At 46.1% G+C, this 17746-nt stretch overlaps 1 pseudogene, besides 1 other annotated feature; it reads right to left on the bottom strand.

Annotated features, from left to right (window-relative positions):
* Positions 6607 to 7168: an enhancer, noted in NCBI's record as "H3K27ac-H3K4me1 hESC enhancer chr15:76043715-76044276 (GRCh37/hg19 assembly coordinates)". NCBI's record gives its function as "activates a minimal SCP1, AML or CMV promoter by ChIP-STARR-seq in primed H9 embryonic stem cells {active_cell/tissue: H9 hESC(primed)}" and the evidence as "EXISTENCE:reporter gene assay evidence [ECO:0000049][PMID:30033119]".
* Positions 11103 to 11815, bottom strand: PPIAP47 (peptidylprolyl isomerase A pseudogene 47; annotated as a pseudogene).

Genomic DNA, 17746 nt, shown 5'->3' with positions numbered 1-17746 from the left:
GTGACTTGGACAAACGGCCTCTGGGAGGGCGGGGTCTGCTCGAGTGAGGCCGGAAGCGGACCACAGCCCGCAGGAGGTGCTGGAGGGCGAAATGCTGGCGTCTCCTCCTATGTCTTCCAGAATCCTTCCCTGGAAAAAAAGCAGCGCCCACCGCCAGTTTAACTGAGGACCGAATTAAGACATTAGGAAAGACAGTGGAAGTTATTTCATTTGTTTAACTTAAGGGGGTAGGATCCCGGGAGCCAGGGGGATTCAGGTCATTGCCATGTTTTCCACTGTTAAGCGAATAGCATTATACACAGCTGCGGGCTGCGGCAAAAGACATTTTAAAAACTATTGAAATCTACTACACATGCAGAAAATTGTACCTATTAGAAATATAAAGCTTAATAAGTGTTCATTAACTGTAGACCTCACATAACCAGCACCCAGATAAGGAAATAACCAGATAACTTCTTCAAGTGCATGGGTGTTTTATTTCATTTTGATGAATTGTGTAGGTGCCTAGCAAAAAGGGCTGTCATAATTAACATGCTCAGGAAAACTCCCTACAATTTCAACATCAATAGATGCTTATTTTTTGCCAGTCTGATGGGGGAAAAAATCCGTTGCTTAGATTGCAGTGGTAGTCTGCTTACTGGTAGCTCTGAGCTAATGGGTTGTCTAAAACAACTAAGTTTCCGACATTGACTTGAAGAGGCAAAAACAAAAAGACAAAACAACAACAAAAATACATTAGAGAATAGACTAATAACCAGAGAAGAAATTGAATACAGTTGTCCCTTAGAAACCTCAGGATATTGGTTCCAGGACCCCAGAGATACCAAAATTCACAGATGCTCTGATATAATATGGCATAGTATTTGCATATAACCTATGCACATCCTTCCGTAGACTTTAAATCACCTCTAGATTACTATAATACTTAATACAACGTAAATGCTTTGTAAATAGCTGTATGAAGTATTTTTAAATTTGTTTTTTTATTTTACTTTTTCCAAATATTTTTGATGCACAGTTGGTCAAATCCAAGGATCCAGAACCCGAGGATACAGAGGGCTGACCGTAGTTTGAGCTCTCTCCTCAATTCCATGCCTATCCCATGCACCAGGTGCAGCTGGTTTTATTGCAGGCTTTCAGGTTTTCAAAAGACAGAGCTCATGACAAGTAAACTGCTCTATGGAATAGAAAGAAATGGAAAATGTCCCAATTCATGGTAAAATTGAACTCATTTCTGAAGAGTTCTTTTACAAATCATAAGCACTAGCCTGTTGAAAACAACAGTATGTTAAGTTACTAGACTATCCTATACCATGTCAAAGAAAAATTTTAAGAACATAAGACCTTTAATCATAGCACTTTGGGGGACCAAGGCCAGTGGATCACTTGAGCCCAGGAGTTCTAGACCAGCTTGGGCAACATAGGGAGACCCCAGTCTCTACAAAAAATTAGCTGCTTCTGCTGGTGCACAAGTGTCGTCCCAGCTACCTAAGAGGCTGAGGTGGGAGGATCTCTTGAGCATGGGATGTGGAGGCTGCAGTGAGCCATGATGGTACCTCTGTACTCCATCCAGCCTGAGCAACAGAATGAGACCATCTCAAAAAAAAAAAAAAAAAGGAAAACAGAAAAAAAAAAAAAAAAGGCTGGGTGCGGTGGCTCACGCCTGTAATCCTAGCACTTTGGGAGGCCAAGGCAGGCAGATCACCTGAGGTCAGGAGTTGGAGACCAGCCTGGCCAATATGGCAAAACCCGTCTCTACTTAAAAAAAAAAAATAGCTGGGCATGGTGGTGGGTGCCTGTAATCCCAGCTACTCGAGAGGCTGAGGCACGAGAATCGCTTGAACCCGGGAGGTGGAGGCTGCAGTGAGCTGAGATTGCACCGCTGCATTTCAGTCAGCTTGAGCAACAGGGTGAGACTCCATCTCAAAAAAAAAAAAAAAAGACGTAAGAATGGTTCAACTTTTATTTCATCCTATCAATAGGTTAAAGAAGAGAAAAATGGATAGATTTGGAAAACCATTTTTTATTTAAAAAGAGAAAATTAAGAACCGATGAAAAACTGTCTTAAGAGTATTTGAAAAAAACAGCAAATTTAACATCAGACAGACAAAGTATTTAAATTCAGAAATAAAGTGGGTGGCGTGCTGGAGCATTTTAATGTCATACTGGAGCATTATTTCACAGATACTTGTTTTACAATTAAAGATGATTTGACTATTTAGAGCCGTGGTTCTCATACATTAGAGTGCATCATAATCCCCTGCAGGGCTTGTGAAACGGGCTGCTGGGCCCCACACCAGAGTTTCTAACTCAATAGGACTGAGGTGGGGCCTGAGCATTGCATGTCTATGTTCCCAGGTGACGCTGATACTTCCAATTTGAGACTATGCTTTGAAAACCACAAATATAGGGAAATATACTAGAGAATATGTTATGAATATACTGGAGAATATGTATATATGTTAACTTACAGATTTCTGTGCAGTGGAAAAGATAATTCCCAAGGATGACAGTTTTATTTCCCAATACAATTTTTTTTTTGAGTCAGCTCACTGCAGCCTCTACCTCCCAGGTTCAAGTGATTCTCCTGCCTCAGCCTCCCAAGTAGCTGGGACTATAAGCACCCACCACTGTGCCTGGCTAATTTTTGTATTTTTAGTAGAGACAGGGTTTCACCATGTTGGCCAGGCTGGTCTTGAACTCCTGACCTCAGGTGATCCACCCACCTCGGCCTCCCAAAGTGCTGCGATTACAGGCATGAGCTATCATGCCTGGCCTCCCTACAGGATATTAACAAGTTTTGTCTCTATCTCAGAATGCATTTCAGAATGCACTTCCTGGAACACTATAGACACTGTCTCTCAAAATGCTCCTCTAACTAGCTTCACCATGTTGCTGACTCCCTTGTAAATTAAAATATCTTATACATATTCCTTCATTATCTGTATGAAAGTCAAGCTTTTCGCATTGTGAAAATTATACTTCAGGCTGGGTGCAGTGGCTCACGCCTGGAATCCCAGCACTTTGGGAGGCCAAAGTGGTGGTATCACTTGAGGCCAGGAGTTTGACACCAGCCTGGCCAACATGTCGAACCCCATGTATACTCAAAAAAAATCAAAATTAGCTGGGTGTGGTGGCACACACCTGTAGTTCCAGCTAATTGGGAGGCTGAGGCACAAGAATTGCTTGAACCCGGGAGGCAGAAGTTGCCATGAGCTGAGATCGTGCCACTGCACTCCAGCCAGAGCCAGACCGAGACTCTGTCTCAAATTTAAAAAAAAAAGAAAGAAAGAAAAGTATACTTTGATACAGTATGCTAATATAAAGGATATAATATGGTTTAGCTCTGTGTCCCCATCCAAATCTCACCTTGAATTGCAATAATCCCCACATGTCAAGGGTGGGACCAGGTGGAGATAATTGAATCATGGGGGTGGTTTCTCCTGCGCTGTTCTCGTGATAGTGAGTGAGTTCTCACGAGATCTGATGGTTTTATAGCAGGCTTTCCCCTTTGCTCGGCTCTCCTTCTCTCTCCTGCTGCCCTGGCAAGAGGTGTCTTCTGCCATAATTGTAAGTTTCCTGAGGCCTCCCCGGCCATGCAGAACTGTGAGTCAATTTAAACCTCTTTTCTTTATAAATTACCCAGTCTTGGGTATTTCTTCATAGCAGCATGAGAATGGACTAATACAGTGTACTAATAACAGCCCAGACAGTAGTATACAGGTACTACTATACTTTGATGCTAGAGGTATTCCCATTAAGGTCAGGAGCAGTATGCGCTATCGTTACCATGATCTAACATTGTTCCAGAGGGTTTTAGGTCAGCAGTTCTCAACTGGAGGTGATTTTGCCGCCCTGGGGATATTTGACAGTATCTGAAATCACTTTGGCTGTCACACTGAGGAGTGCTGCTGGCATGTGGCAGGCGGAGGCTGGGGATGCTGCTAAACATCCTGCGAGGCGCAAACAGCTCCAGAACAGAGAACTGTCCAGCCCTAAACATCAACAGTGCTGCTGTGGAGAAAGCCTGGTCTAGACAAATAAAACATGGGAAATCCATTAACATAAATGTGGGTGGATAATCAACTGGCATTTGCCAATGGCAGTCTAGCTAGGAGGTCCAAAAGGAGCACCTGAAGAACAGTTAGATTTTGCAGGGGCTGCATGGTGGCTCATGCCTGTAACCCCAGTGCATTGTGAGGTCGCATTGGGAATATCTCTTGAGGCCAGGAGTTCAAGACCAGCCTGGGCAACATAGTGAGACCGCATCTCTACCAAAAATTTAAAAATCAGCCAGATGTGGGGGTGTGCTCTGATAGTCCCAGCTGCTGAGATGGGAGTATCGCTTGAGCCCGGGAGCTGGAGGCTACGGTGAGCTGTGATCAAGCCACTGTACTCTAAAAAAATTTTGAGACAGGGTTTTTCTCTGTTGCATACGGGGTCTTGCTGTGTTGCCCAGGCTGGTCTCGAACTCCTGGCCTCAAGCAGTCTTCCTGCCTCGGCCTCCGAAAGTGTTGAGATTACATGAGCCACTGCCCCTGGCCTTATGAAATAAAAATTTTAAAAAAAGAAGTTACAGGATGTTATGTGGCCTGTTGAAAGATGTTGGAAAACAGTTGTGCATGTGACCCAGCTATAACCAGTTATAAAAGTATCAGGATTAAGAAATGTACTGCGTCTGGCTTTCCCAAGTTTAGGTTCCTGCTGAAAGAATGAGATGGACCTTTGTTTCTTCTTCTGCTCCTCAACTCCCTGCAAGAACCAGGACTGTGCATTTTGACGGGCAGGCTCTTACCCCTGGCAGGCCACAGAGGGCATGCAGAGCCTTTCTGCGTGTGTTTTCTGGGCAGTCAGATAAAGACCCCCTGTCCAGGCCTTTGTTTAGGATATTTGGCCCATGGAGGAACGAGGCTGGAATCACCTGGGAGGGGCAGAGGCTTCGACTGGAAGGAGGAGTGACCTGAACTCCAGGTTCTGGGCCTACACTTTGTTCCCATGCAGCACCCTGTTAGTGGTGACTGGGGCCTGGAAGTCAGGGGCCTTGGTGGCCAAGTGTCGGCTGGACAGGAGGAGCTGAGGAAGGTGAGGGGCATCTCTCCAGCACTGCCCCCCACCCCATCCCCAAATCAATGCCCTCTGACAGCTCAGACACAGCCCCAGCCAGCAGCAGTGCAGGTCAGGAAGGGCAAATGCACTCAGCACGGATCTGCTCCATAGTCTCCGCCTCACTTCATCTCGGGTTGAGGGGAGTGAGTCCCCGCAGCACTCGTGATATCCTGTCAGCTGAAAACATTCAGCTTGATTTAGAAAGATAAGGTGGGACATCTCTTGGGCATGGCGTGTGGAGCAGTGACATCCCTCTGTGGCAGCGAGTCAAGCAATAAACCAGAATGTGCAAAACCTGCGTCCCAGAATCACCGTTCCTGGAAGAAAAGCCTATATTGTCAAGATGCCCACTCCTAAATTAACCCAAACTTTCCACCCAGCCTCGAAAAACCAGTAGAACTTTGACGTTAATATACTAACCCTCAGTTCTATACAGAAATGTGTAAGAATAGCCACATACTGTAATGTGCGGTCATTGAGAGAGAGGAGCCCGACAGAACAAATGGAACCAAGTCCAGAGACATGTCTGTCTAGGCGCAAGATGCCAGCATGTGTGTCAGCCAGGGAAGCAGACCAGGAGGAGATATTTATTAAGATTTTAAACCAGGCTCCATAGCTCAGGCCTATAATTATAATACTTTGTGAGGCTGAGGTGGGAGGATCACTTGAGCCCAGGAGTTTGAGGCTGCAGTGAGCTATGATTGTGCCACTGAATTGCAGCCTGAATGACAGAGGAAGACCCCATCTCAAAAAGAGTGCGCAGATGCACCCTTACATTAAGCCACCTTGGGTATACCTTCCAAGACTGGTGAGGCGTTACTCAGGACAAGGGCCCAGCCCTAGCTCAGCTTCCACCTCCTGAGCGACACCTGGAGGAGGTGGCCACAGTGTCCTCAGTCCAGTCTCTGTTGGGTTTCAGATCCCCTGATCATCATGCCTTTTTTGCCCAAGCTCTGCCTCATTATGGCCTTCACTGACCGCAGCCTCTTCCACCTCCCCAAGGGGACCCCTGCTCATGCTCTCCAGCCCACAGGAGTGCCTGCTTCTCCAGGAAGCCCATCCTCCTGGCTCTGGGCTCTATATAGGAGAGCTGGGCAGGCTGGATCCCACCACTGAGTTCAGTCTCGGGGGTCTCCACCCATGCTAGGCTTCCACTGATGGGACATAAGTGGCCAGGGGGGTTCTTTACATCCACACAAGAGCCCCATGATGACCAGGAATGGGGTTCTGAGAGGCTAAATGACTTGCCCAGGGCCCCAGAGCTGTCTAGAATCCTGCACTGCCATATCCAAGGCTGTGTTTGGGCCTCCCACTCGGGGCCCGGACACCCCTCTGCATCTACCAGGCTGGGAAACACATGTCTGCTGTAGCTTCCTCCCAGTGACTTACAGCAGCTGCAGATTTCTGGGGGGACTTCTACGGGGCCCACCACAGTAGGGAGCTGAGAACTCTTAGAGAGCCCTGAGTTTTCTCTCCGGCCCCTTCAGCTCTGAACTCATACTAGTTGCTCTGATACAAGAACAGGCCTTGGTGAGGGTTTTGGGGCTCTTGTCAGTAGCCCAGGCCTTCAGGAATCAGGTGATGTTGATGTGGAGAGGAGGTGCCTGCTGGAGGGACTGGGGGGAGCAAGCATAGCCCAGGGCCCTGGCCTCCTGCTGGGGCATCCCCCTCTTCCTTCCCAGGGTCCCCTGAGAATCCGAAGGCATCCAGGGTAAAGTGCAGTGTTCAGCTGTGTCCTGGGGTCCAGGAAAGCCAAGGACAAGTTGCTCTACCTGCTGTCCACCAGGCACCCTGGCAGAGAACAGCCTCAGCCCACCCTAGCCCAACACCAGATCCCAGGGACTGATCCACCTGTAAGAGGGCAGCATGGGACTGCCCCCATTGTCCCCAGAGAGTCCCCTCAGTCATGGGCTCTGACCAGGGTGCAGGTGGCCCAGCAGGCTGGCCCATTGTGGGTGTGGCTGTCCATTGGTCCTCTAAAGAGCCTCAGGGGCTTGTGGCAGCTGGTGTATGTCTGGGCTTGGAAGTAGAGGATGTCCCCCAGCCACAGGGCAGGGGACACTTGTTTTGAATTCCAGTCCTCTGCAAGGACAGAGAACCCAGGCTCTGAGCACCCCAGCTCTGCCTGCCCTACCCACAACCTACCACCATTTGGCCCAGGCAAGTTGCCCCAGCTCCCGCAGAGGGAGCCACCCTTCCCACCTCCTGATGTTTGCCCACACCAGTCAAGTTCCATTCTGGAAAAACCCTCTGTGTCCTTGGGAAGGCACCTCCTCCTTGACTCCTTTCCAGAGCTATCATCCCCACTTTAATTTTCTACCTGTCATTCAATGCAGAGACCAGCTTCTTCCCAGGGCCAGGGCTGCTCTGGAGGCAGGGAGGCTTTGGCCAGGCTGTGGGGTGTAGCAAAGCACCGGGTATAGACCAGGCTCTCCAGGCACACCTGGGCAGAGAAGTCAGAGACCCACAGGTGAATGCCTCTCCTTCTGGCCCCACCCACCTCACAGGCAGAAAGAGGGAGGCTTCACAAGGAGGTTGACGTAAACAGGGGAGCCCAGGTTACCTCTGTCTGATCTCCTGCCCTCCTGGGAGAAAGCCAGAGGTTGGAGCTGGGAGGCGTCGAGAGCCCTGGCCCCGTCCTGGTTTCACTGATGAGGTTCAGGGAGGGGCTGGGTCAGCCCAAGTCACTGAGTCCATAAGTGACTCATATAAGTCCATATGGTTCTGACCATAACCCAGGACCCTAGAGCTAGCCAAGGCCCCATCCCTTTCCCACGTATATCATCCTTTTCCCACGTAGGGGCATGAACTGGCTTCTGGCTTCTAAGGCCGAGGCCCAGCACACCTCTACCTCCCCTTGCCTGCAGCTGTTGTTACACATCAAAAGTGAGTTTTCCCTGAGGGGCAGGAAGCATAGCTCCCTGGGCTGGACCAGGTGGCCAATCCAAACAAGACCCTGTGCATCCCCACAAGCCAGGCCTTCTCACACCATGCAGCAGCTGAGGGCACCAGGATACCCTGGGGGATTCCAAAGACGAGCCCTCCTACAGGCTCCCACAGCAGCACTGCCAACCCCAGACCTGCCATAAGCCCTGTATCCATCCAGCCTTCGAGAACCTGGCCATTCACACATACCTGCCCCACTCCTGACACCTGGCTTTCCTGTGAAAAGTGGAACTGGTTCCACCTAGGCAAGCTGGAGAAGGGCCTCAGGAAATCACCATTTTGGGGACTTGTTCTAATCATTCATTCATTTATTCACCAAATACCCACTGTCCACCTTTCTGTACCAGGCCAGGGGTGATGCGTCAAGCAGAACACATGTCCCAAGGAGCTTTCCTCTCTTTAGAGACAGACAGGTGGACTCTCAGACCATGAGGTGCCCTCTGGGCTGGGGGTGCCCAGGGCTGGATGCAGGGGAGGGCCGCACCCACAGGAGATGCTCATGGGTATGGATGTGGAGGCCACCATGGGGTAAGGGTGTGACCTGGGGCAGGTGCAGGGCCTGCTCTATCTGGAAGGCTTCCTGACTCTGCCAACAATAGACCGTGGCTAGATCAGGCTTCATGTCGATTTTTAATATTATATTTAATACATTTTGATTATGTAACTAAACATTATTGTGATAAAAATTATGAGATATAGAAAAGTTAAAAACACAAAAAACCAGCAAACCCCTTCTCTCCCCAAATAACTGCTTCAACAGTATTTTCTGACTTGTTTTCCCATGTATCTGCAGCTATAAACATAAGCTGCACAAGATAGTATCCTTCCCCATATTCTACTTTGGAGCTGGATTTTTCACTCAGCAGTGAATAGAGGCAGGCTTTAAACAGGCCACGCATTGTGAGGGCCCTGGGAAAGGAGACTGACCATGTTGCTGGGTGACCTTGGGCAAGTCTCGCCCTCCTCAGAGCCTGGATTTCCTCAGTCCGGTGAAGGGCAGGAAGGGCTGCAGTAGGACTACATCAGCGCTTCCCAAACTCAGAACCGCCACGTGGAGCTGTGTGAGCTGTCACTGCACAACCCCAGGGGCAGGAGCATTCTTGTCACGGCCTCTGTGAGTGGGGCTCCTGCCCAAAAGTGTGCTGTGGCAACCTGGGGCCCACAGGAGGATTTTAGGCGATATGCGGATGAATTGATTTTTACCATTTCCTTCTATCTGTAGTGAATGAGACCGATTCTCACCGGGAGGGCGTGTTAAACCACAGGTCGCTGAACCCACGCCTCAGAGGTTCTGATTCAGGAGGTCTGGGACGGCGCCTGAGAATCTGCATTTCTAACAAGTTCTCAGCTGATGGTGATGCTGATGCTGCTGGCTCAGGGACCACACTCTGAGAACCACTAACCACAAGTTTCCTTTTATTCATTTATTTCAGGCAGGGTTTTGCCGTGACACCCAGGCTGTAGTATAATGGTGCAATCCTGCAATCATGGCTCATGGCAGCCTCGACCTCCCAGGCTCAAGCAATCCTCCTGCCTCACTTCCCAAGTAGCTGAAACCATAGGTGCACGCTACCTTGCCTGGATGTTTTTGTATTTTTTGTAGAGATGGAGCTTCACCATGTTGCTCAGGCTGGTCGTGAACTCCTCGGCTTGAGCAATTCACCTGCCTTGGCCTCCTAAAGCAAAAGTTTCCTTTTTAAATACATTTATTTAGGTTTTAAAAATGAATTGACTTAAAGCACAGGAATAGATCTTCAACACTAACCACTGGGGAAATGCAAATTAAAACCACAGTAAGATATCACTACAGATCTATTAGAACAGCTCAAATCAAGCATAGTGATAGTATCAAATAATGGCGAGGATGCAGACAAAACTAACTCATACATCGCTGGTGGGAATATAAAATGATACAGACACTCTAGAAAATAGTTTGGCAGCTTCTTTAATTAAACATACACCTCAATATATGACCTAGCAATTGCTTCTGGGCATTTGTACCAGAAAATAAAACTGATGTCTGCACAAAAACTCATACATGATTGTTCATGGCAGATTTATTTGTAATAGCCCCAAACTGGAAACAACCAAATACTCCCCAATAGGTGAATGGTAAAGCAAACTGATACATCCATTCTATGACCTGACAGTTTTGGAGGGGCTTGCGTCATTATATATAAATGGTTTCAAGTGTTTTAATTTCATCCACGATCAGACTTAATGCCAATAGAGAGTAAGGTCTGTGCCTTATATTTCGTGTATCCCTCTGGGCCCCAGGAACTCTGCCTGTGCTTGACAAGTTTCAGGCTGGGCGCAGTGGCTCATGCCTGTAATCCCAGCACTTTGGGAGGCGGAGGTGGGCGGATCACCTGAGGTCAGGAGTTCAAGACCAGCCTGGCCAACATGGTGAAACCCTGTCTCTACTAAAAATACAAAAAAGTGGCTGGGTGCGGTGGCTCACACCTGTAATCCCAGCACTTTGGGAGGCCGAGGCGGGCAGATCACGAGGTCAGGAGATCGAGACCATCCTGGCTAACATGGTGAAACCCCGTCTCTACTAAAAATACAAAAAAAATTAGCCAGGCGTGGTGGAGGGCGCCTGTAGTCCCAGCTACTTGGGAGGCTGAGGCAGGAGAATGGTGTGAACCCGGGAGGCGGAGCTTGCAGTGAGCTGAGATCGCGCCACTGTACTCCAGCCTGGGTAACAGAGCGAGACTCTGTCTCAAAAAAAAAAAAAAAAAATACAAATACATAAAAGTAGTTTGGCATGGTGGCAGGTGCCTATAGTCCCAGCTACTCAGGAGACTGAGGCAGGAGAATGGCTTGAACCCAGGAGGCGGAGTTTGCAGTGAGCCAAGATCACACCACTGCACTCCAACCTGGGTGACAGAGTGAGACTCCATCTCAAAAAAAAAAGTTTCAGTAAACAACTAATTTATTTAATCTCTCTCCATCCTCTCCTTTCTTCTACCACCACTCTAGGATAATAGCCATTATACCTCATAAGTCCAATTCATTTTTTCCCTTGTTTTTCTTTTTTTTTTTTTTTGGTTATTTAGTTTTTATTTCATAATCATAAACTCAACTCTGCAGTCCAGCTAGGCATGGAAGGGAACTGCAGCGAGAGCACAAAGATTCTAGGATACTGCGAGTAAGTGGGGTGGAGGGTGCTGTCCTGAGCTACAGAAGGAACGGTCTGGTGGTTAAGATAAAACACAAGTCAACCTTATTAGAGTTGTCCACAGTCAGCAATGGTGATCTTCTTCCTGGTCTTGCCATTCCTGGACTCAAAGCGCTCCGTGGCCTCCACAATATTCATGCCTTCTTTCACCTTGCCAAAGACCACATGCTTGCCATCCACCACTCAGTCTTGGCAGTGCAGATGAAAAACTGGGAACCATTTATATTGGATCCAGCATTTGCCATGGACAAGATGCCAGGACCTGTATGCTTTAGGATGAAGTTCTCATCATCAAATTTCTCCCCATAGATGGACTTGCCACCAGTGCCATTATGGCATGTGAAGTCACCACCCTGACACATAAACTCTGATAATTCTGTGAAAGCAAGAACCCTTATTACCAAATCCTTTCTCTCCAGTGCTCAGAGCATGAAAGTTTTCTGCTGTCTTTGGAAACTTGTCTGCAAGCAGCTCGAAGGAGACGTGGCCCAAGGGCTCGCCATCGACGGCGATGTCAAAAAACACAGTGGGGTTAACCATGGCTGATAGTACAGGGCTCCCGATGGTGGCAGTGTCTGCAAAGCCTCCCTTGGTTTTCTTTTCTCAATATGCCTAAATATTTAAAATTATTATTTTTAAATTATATCAGCAAGTCTGCTTATTTTAAAAAGTGAAATATATACATATATATAATAAGTATTCATTAATAACTTTCTTCCAGTCCCTTCCATCCTCACACCATAAATAAATAATGGTAATAGCTTGATGTACCTTGGTCCACATCCTTATGCTTGTACAGACCTATAAAAATTGCTATATTCATGTATAGTGTGTTTTATGATTGATAAAAAAAATCACACTTAAGCAGTGTGATTTTTTTCATCTCTCTGTCTCAGTAAGTGAGACTCTGGATCAATATTTTTTAAAGCTACATCATATTCCAAGTTATTGGTAAAACCACAAACTATTCAGCTTGCTTATTCCTGAGTTTTAATGACACTGAGTGTATTTTCATAATATTATAAAACACATGTTTCTCTCCTGTGCATTGCATGTTCATATTCTTTGTTCCTTATATTTAAATTTCTAAACTGTCAGAACCTTATTTTTGTGAATGGCATGAGATAGTGGATTTAGTTTTGTTTTCTTCTAGATTGATGGCCAGTTTATATTTAAAAAATTAACCTTTTCCCACTGCATTGAAATAGTACCCTGTCCATATTTTATGTTCTTATATATACTTACATTGATTTTGGGATCAATTTCTGATCCACAGATACATTTTTATTCATCTTTTAATGTTGTTTTGATTATAGTGACTTTATAATGTAGGTTAATATTTGGTAGGGCAATTCTCCCTGTTTCTATTTTTTATTTTCATAGTTTTCTTGCCTATTCTTGGACACTCATTTATTTTTTCATTTGAACTTTACATTCATTTCATGTAGTTTTTGTAAAATGATTTGCTATGGTTTGAATGTTCGTGCCCTCCCCAAATTCCTGTGTTGAAACCCTAACCCCCAAGGTTGACAGTATTAAAAGGTAGAGCTTTTGGGAGGTAACTAGGTCGTGAGGGCAGAGCTCCCATAAACAGGATTAGTCCTCTTATAAAAGAGGCCCAAGGGAGCTTCCTAGTCCCTTCCCCCATTGAGGGCATAACAAGAAGGCACCGTAAATAAACAATGAAATGGGCTCTCACTGGACACTGACCTGCCTGTGCCTTGATCTTGGACTTCCCAGCCTTCAAAATTAGGAAAAGTCAGTTTATGTTGTTTAGTAGCTATCCAGTCTATAGTATTTTGTTACAGCAGCCACAATGGACCAAGACATAATTCACTGTGATTCTAATGGGAATTGCATCATAGTTATACATTAATTTTTCTAAGAATTAACATTAACACTATCCTTTCTGGAGTACTGGCATGTCTCTCCACTTGCTTAGATCTTGTTTTCTGTCTTTAAAAATGACTTCATATACAAACATTCTTAGCCATTATTATTGTTGTTGTTTTCATTTTTTGTTTGTCTGTTTGTTTGTATTTTAGTACAGATGGGGTTTCACCATGTTGCCCAGGCTGGTTTCAAACTCCTGAGCTCAGGCAATCTGCCCGCCTTGGCCTCCCAAAGTGCTAGGATTTCAGGTGTGAGCTATCGCGCCCAGCCTATTGTTTTTAATCATGATTTTTATTTTTATTTATTTATTTATTTTTCTTGAGATGGAGTCTCGCTCTGTCACCCAGGCTGGAGTGTAGTGGCATGATCTCAGCTCACTGCAAGCTGCACCTCCCGGGTTCATGGCCATTCTCCTGCCTCAGCCTCCCGAGTAGCTAGGACTACAGGCGCCCGCCACCATGCCTGGCTAATTTTTTTGTATTTTTATTAGATACGGAGTTTCACCATGTTAGCCAGGATGGTCTCGATCTCCTGACCTTGTGATCCACCTGCCTAGGCCTCCCAAAGTGCTGGGATTACAGGCGTGAGCCACCGCGCCCAGCCAATTTTTTTTTTTTTTGAGATGGAGTCTTGCTCTGTCTCCCAGGCTGCAGTGCAGTGGTACAATCTCGACTCACTGCAACCTCTGCCTCTCGAGTTCAAGCAATTCTCCTGCCTCAGCCTCCCAAGTAGTTGGGACTATAGGTGCATGCCACCACACCTGGCTAATTTTTGTAGTTTCAGTAGAGACAGGTTTTACCATATTGGTCAAGCTGGTCTCGAACTTCTGACCTAAGGTGATCCACCCACCTCGGCCTCCCAAAGTGCTGGGATTGCAGGCGTGAGCCACCCCGCCCATCCTTATCATGACTTTAGAGAAGATATTTCAAATTTAAAATTGTATTATTAAATATTTCAAATATACAGAGAAATATAAAAAAAATATTACAGGCAACATGTACCCTCTTCTCATACTTACTAGATTTTAACATTTTGACATATTTATAGAATATGATGACATTCTTTCATCTTCCCCCTTTCTAGATATATGACTAGTGTCTAGAAGCCAGTGTGTATAATTCCCAGACATTTAAACATTTCTTAAATGTATTTTTGCATTTCTAAATAATAGATAATGGTTTTATATATATTCCTAAGCAATATATAATGCTTTTATGTGTTATTTAAAAAATAAATTTATATCCATGACTAGTTATTCTTCATATTGAGAAAGGCTAATGATTTTTATGTACCATATATCTTGATTTGAGATATTTTATTAAATTATTTATTGTATTTTATTAAAATATTAGATTTTCTCTTCTCTATTATATACAAAAATATGCAATTTTACCTTTTTTATATAATATACATACCAATTGTTTTATTTTTTTCAGTTTGATTAGCTAAACATTTTAAATAATGTTGACTAACATTGGGGAAAGCAGCATGTTTTTCTTATTCTTGATTTCAATGGAAATGACTTTAGAAATTCTAATATAATGCTTCTGTTAATTTTTATAAGCTTGTCATATTTAAGCAAGACTTTTAACTTATTTTTTTTAGGATAATGTTTCACTAAATCCTCACAGTGACCTGAGGAGGCATGTATTAGTCCGTTTTCACACTGCTCATAAAAACATACCTGAGACTGGGGAGAAAAAGAGGTTTAATTGGACTTATAGCTCCATATGGCTGGGGAGGCCTCAGAATCATGGCGGGAGGCGGAAGGCACTTCTTAACATGGTGGTGGCAGGAGAAAATGAGATAGAAGCAAAAGCAGAAACCTCAATAAACTCATCAGATCTCATGAGACTTGTTCACTATCATGAGAATAGCACGGGAAAGACCAGCTCCCATGATTCAGTTACCACCTCCTGGGTCCTTCCCACAACATGTGGGAATTCTAGGAGATACAATTCAAGTTGAGATTTGGGTGGGGACACAGCCAAACCATATCATTCCACCCCTGGCCCCTCCAAATCTCATGTCCTCATATTTCAAAACCAATCATGCCTTCCCAACAGTCCCCCAAAATCTTAACTCATTTCAGCATTAACCCAAAAAGTCCACAGTCCAAAGTCTCATCTGAGACAAGGGAAGTCTCTTTCGCCTATGAGCTTGTAAAAATCAAAAACAAACTAGTTACTTCCTAGATACAATGAGGGTACAGATATTGGGTAAATACAGTTGTTCCAAATGGGAGAAACTGACCAAAACAAAGGGATTACAAGGCCCATGCAAGTCCAAAATCCAGTGGGACAGTCAAATTTTAAAGCACCAAAATTATCTCCTTTGTCTCACATCCAGGTCACATTGATGCAAGAATTGGGTTCCCATGGTCTTGGGCAGCTCCACCCCTGGGGCTTTGCAGGGTACAGCCTCCCTCCCAGCTGTTTTCAAAGGCTGGCATTGAGTGCTGTGGCTTTTCCAGGCACATGGTGCAAGCTGTCAGTGGATCTATCATTCTGGGGTCTGGAGGATAGTGGTCCTCTTCTCACAGCTCCACTAGGCAGTGCCCCAGGAGGGACTCTGTGGGGGGGGCTCTGACCCCACATTTCCCTTCTGCACTGCCCTAGCAGAGGTTCTCCATGAAGGCCCTGGCAGCAAACTTTTGCCTGGGCATCCAGGCATTTCCATACATCTCCTGAAATCTAGGTGGAGGTTCCCAAACCTCAATTCTTAACTTCTATGCACTCACAGACTCAACACCACATGGAAGCTGCCAAGGCTTGGGGCTTCCACCCTCTGAAGCCACAGCCTGAGCTGTACGTTGGCCCCTTTCAGCCACGGCTAAGTGGCTGGGACATACGGCACCAAAACCCTAGGCTGCACACAGCACAGGGTCCCTGGCCCCGGCCCACAAAACCACTTTTTCCTCCTGGGCCTCTGGGCCTGTGATGGAAGGGTCTGCTGTGAAGGTCTGGAGACATAGCCTGGAGACATTTTCCCCATGGTCTTGGGGATTAACATTAGGCTCCTTGCTACTTATGCAAATTTCTGCAGCTGGCTTGAATTTCTCCCCAGAAAATGGGTTTTTCTTTTCTATCGCATAGTCGGGCTGCAAATTTTCCAAACTTATGCCCTGCTTCCCTTATAAAACTGAATGCCAACAGTACCCAAGTCACCTCTTAAATGCTTTGCTACTTAGAAATTTCTTCAGCCAGATTACCCTAAATCTTCTCTCTCAAGTTCAAAATTCCACAAATCTCTAGGGCAGGGGCAAAATGCCACCAGTCTCTTTGCTAAAACATAACAAGAATCATCTTTGCTCCACTTCCCAACAAGTTCCTTGTCACCATCTGAGACCACCTTAGCCTGGATCTTATTGTCCGTATCACTATCAGCATTCGGGGTAAAGTCATTCAACAAGTCTCTAGGAAGTTCCAAACTTTCCCACGTTTTTCTGCCTTCTTCTGAGCCCTCCAAATTGTTCCAACCTTTGCCTGTTACCTAGTTCCAAAGCTACTTCCACATTTTCAGGTATCTTTTCAGCAATGCCCCACTCTACTGGTACCAATTTATTGTATTAGTCCATTTTCACACTTCCAATGAAAACATACCCAAGACTGGGAAGAAAAAGAGGTTTAATTGGACTTACAGTTCCACATGGCTGGGGAGGCCTCAGAATCATGGTGGGAGGCGAAAGGTACTTCTTACATTGGCAGCAGCAGGAGAAAATGAGAGAAGCAAAAGCAACCCATCAGATCTCATAAGACTTATTCACTATCATGAGAATAGCACAGGAAAGACCAGCCCCCATGATTCAATTACCTCTCCCTGGGTCCCTCCCACAATAAGTGGAATTCTGAGAGACACAATTCAAGTTGAGATTTGGATAGGGACACAGCCAAACCATAACAAGGCAGGAATTATTATTAACCCATTTTCCCAATCAGGAAACTGAGGCTGAAAGGAAGGGATTTGCCCAGAATCACACAGCTGGGAAATGAGCAAGCCAGGACTTGACTCAGATGTGATGACCCCAAAGTCCAGGCATGCCCTTAACCCCCAGGGAGGGTGTGGCTTTGCCCATCTGCCCTCACTGCCTGCCCTGTCTTGCAGGAATGTCTACAAGGATTTTTTTTTCTTTTTGAGATGGAGTCTCGCTCTGTCACCCAGGCTGGAGTGCAGTGGCACAATCTCGGCTCACTGCAACCTCCGCCTCCCAGGTTCATACCATTCTCCTGCCTCAGCCTCCCAAGTAGCTGGGACTACAGGCGCCGGCCACCACGCCCGGCTAATTTTTTGTATTTTTAGTAGAGACGGAGTTTCACCGTGTTAGCCAGGATGGTCTCAATCTCCTGACCTCATGATCCGCCTGCCTTGGCCTCCCAAAGTGCTGGGATTACAGGCGTGAGCCACCGCACCTGGCCTCTACAAGGATTATTGGCAGCTGGAGCTGGCTCATGAGACACAGGAGGAGGTGAACAGCTGGAAGTCCTACTTTCTGAGGGCTGGTGTGTACCTTGAGTGTGTTGGGGTGAGCGGCAGGGCAAGGAGAGGAGGGTCAAGCTGCTGATACTAGGGGGGCCCTGGGGCACCATCCACAGTGATGCCAAGTCATGCCATGTTTCTGAG

This window comes from Homo sapiens, chromosome 15 (assembly GCF_000001405.40).
Source record: "Homo sapiens chromosome 15, GRCh38.p14 Primary Assembly".
NCBI classification, from domain to species: Eukaryota; Metazoa; Chordata; class Mammalia; order Primates; family Hominidae; genus Homo; species Homo sapiens.
This window is presented reverse-complemented; position numbering and strand designations above follow the sequence as displayed.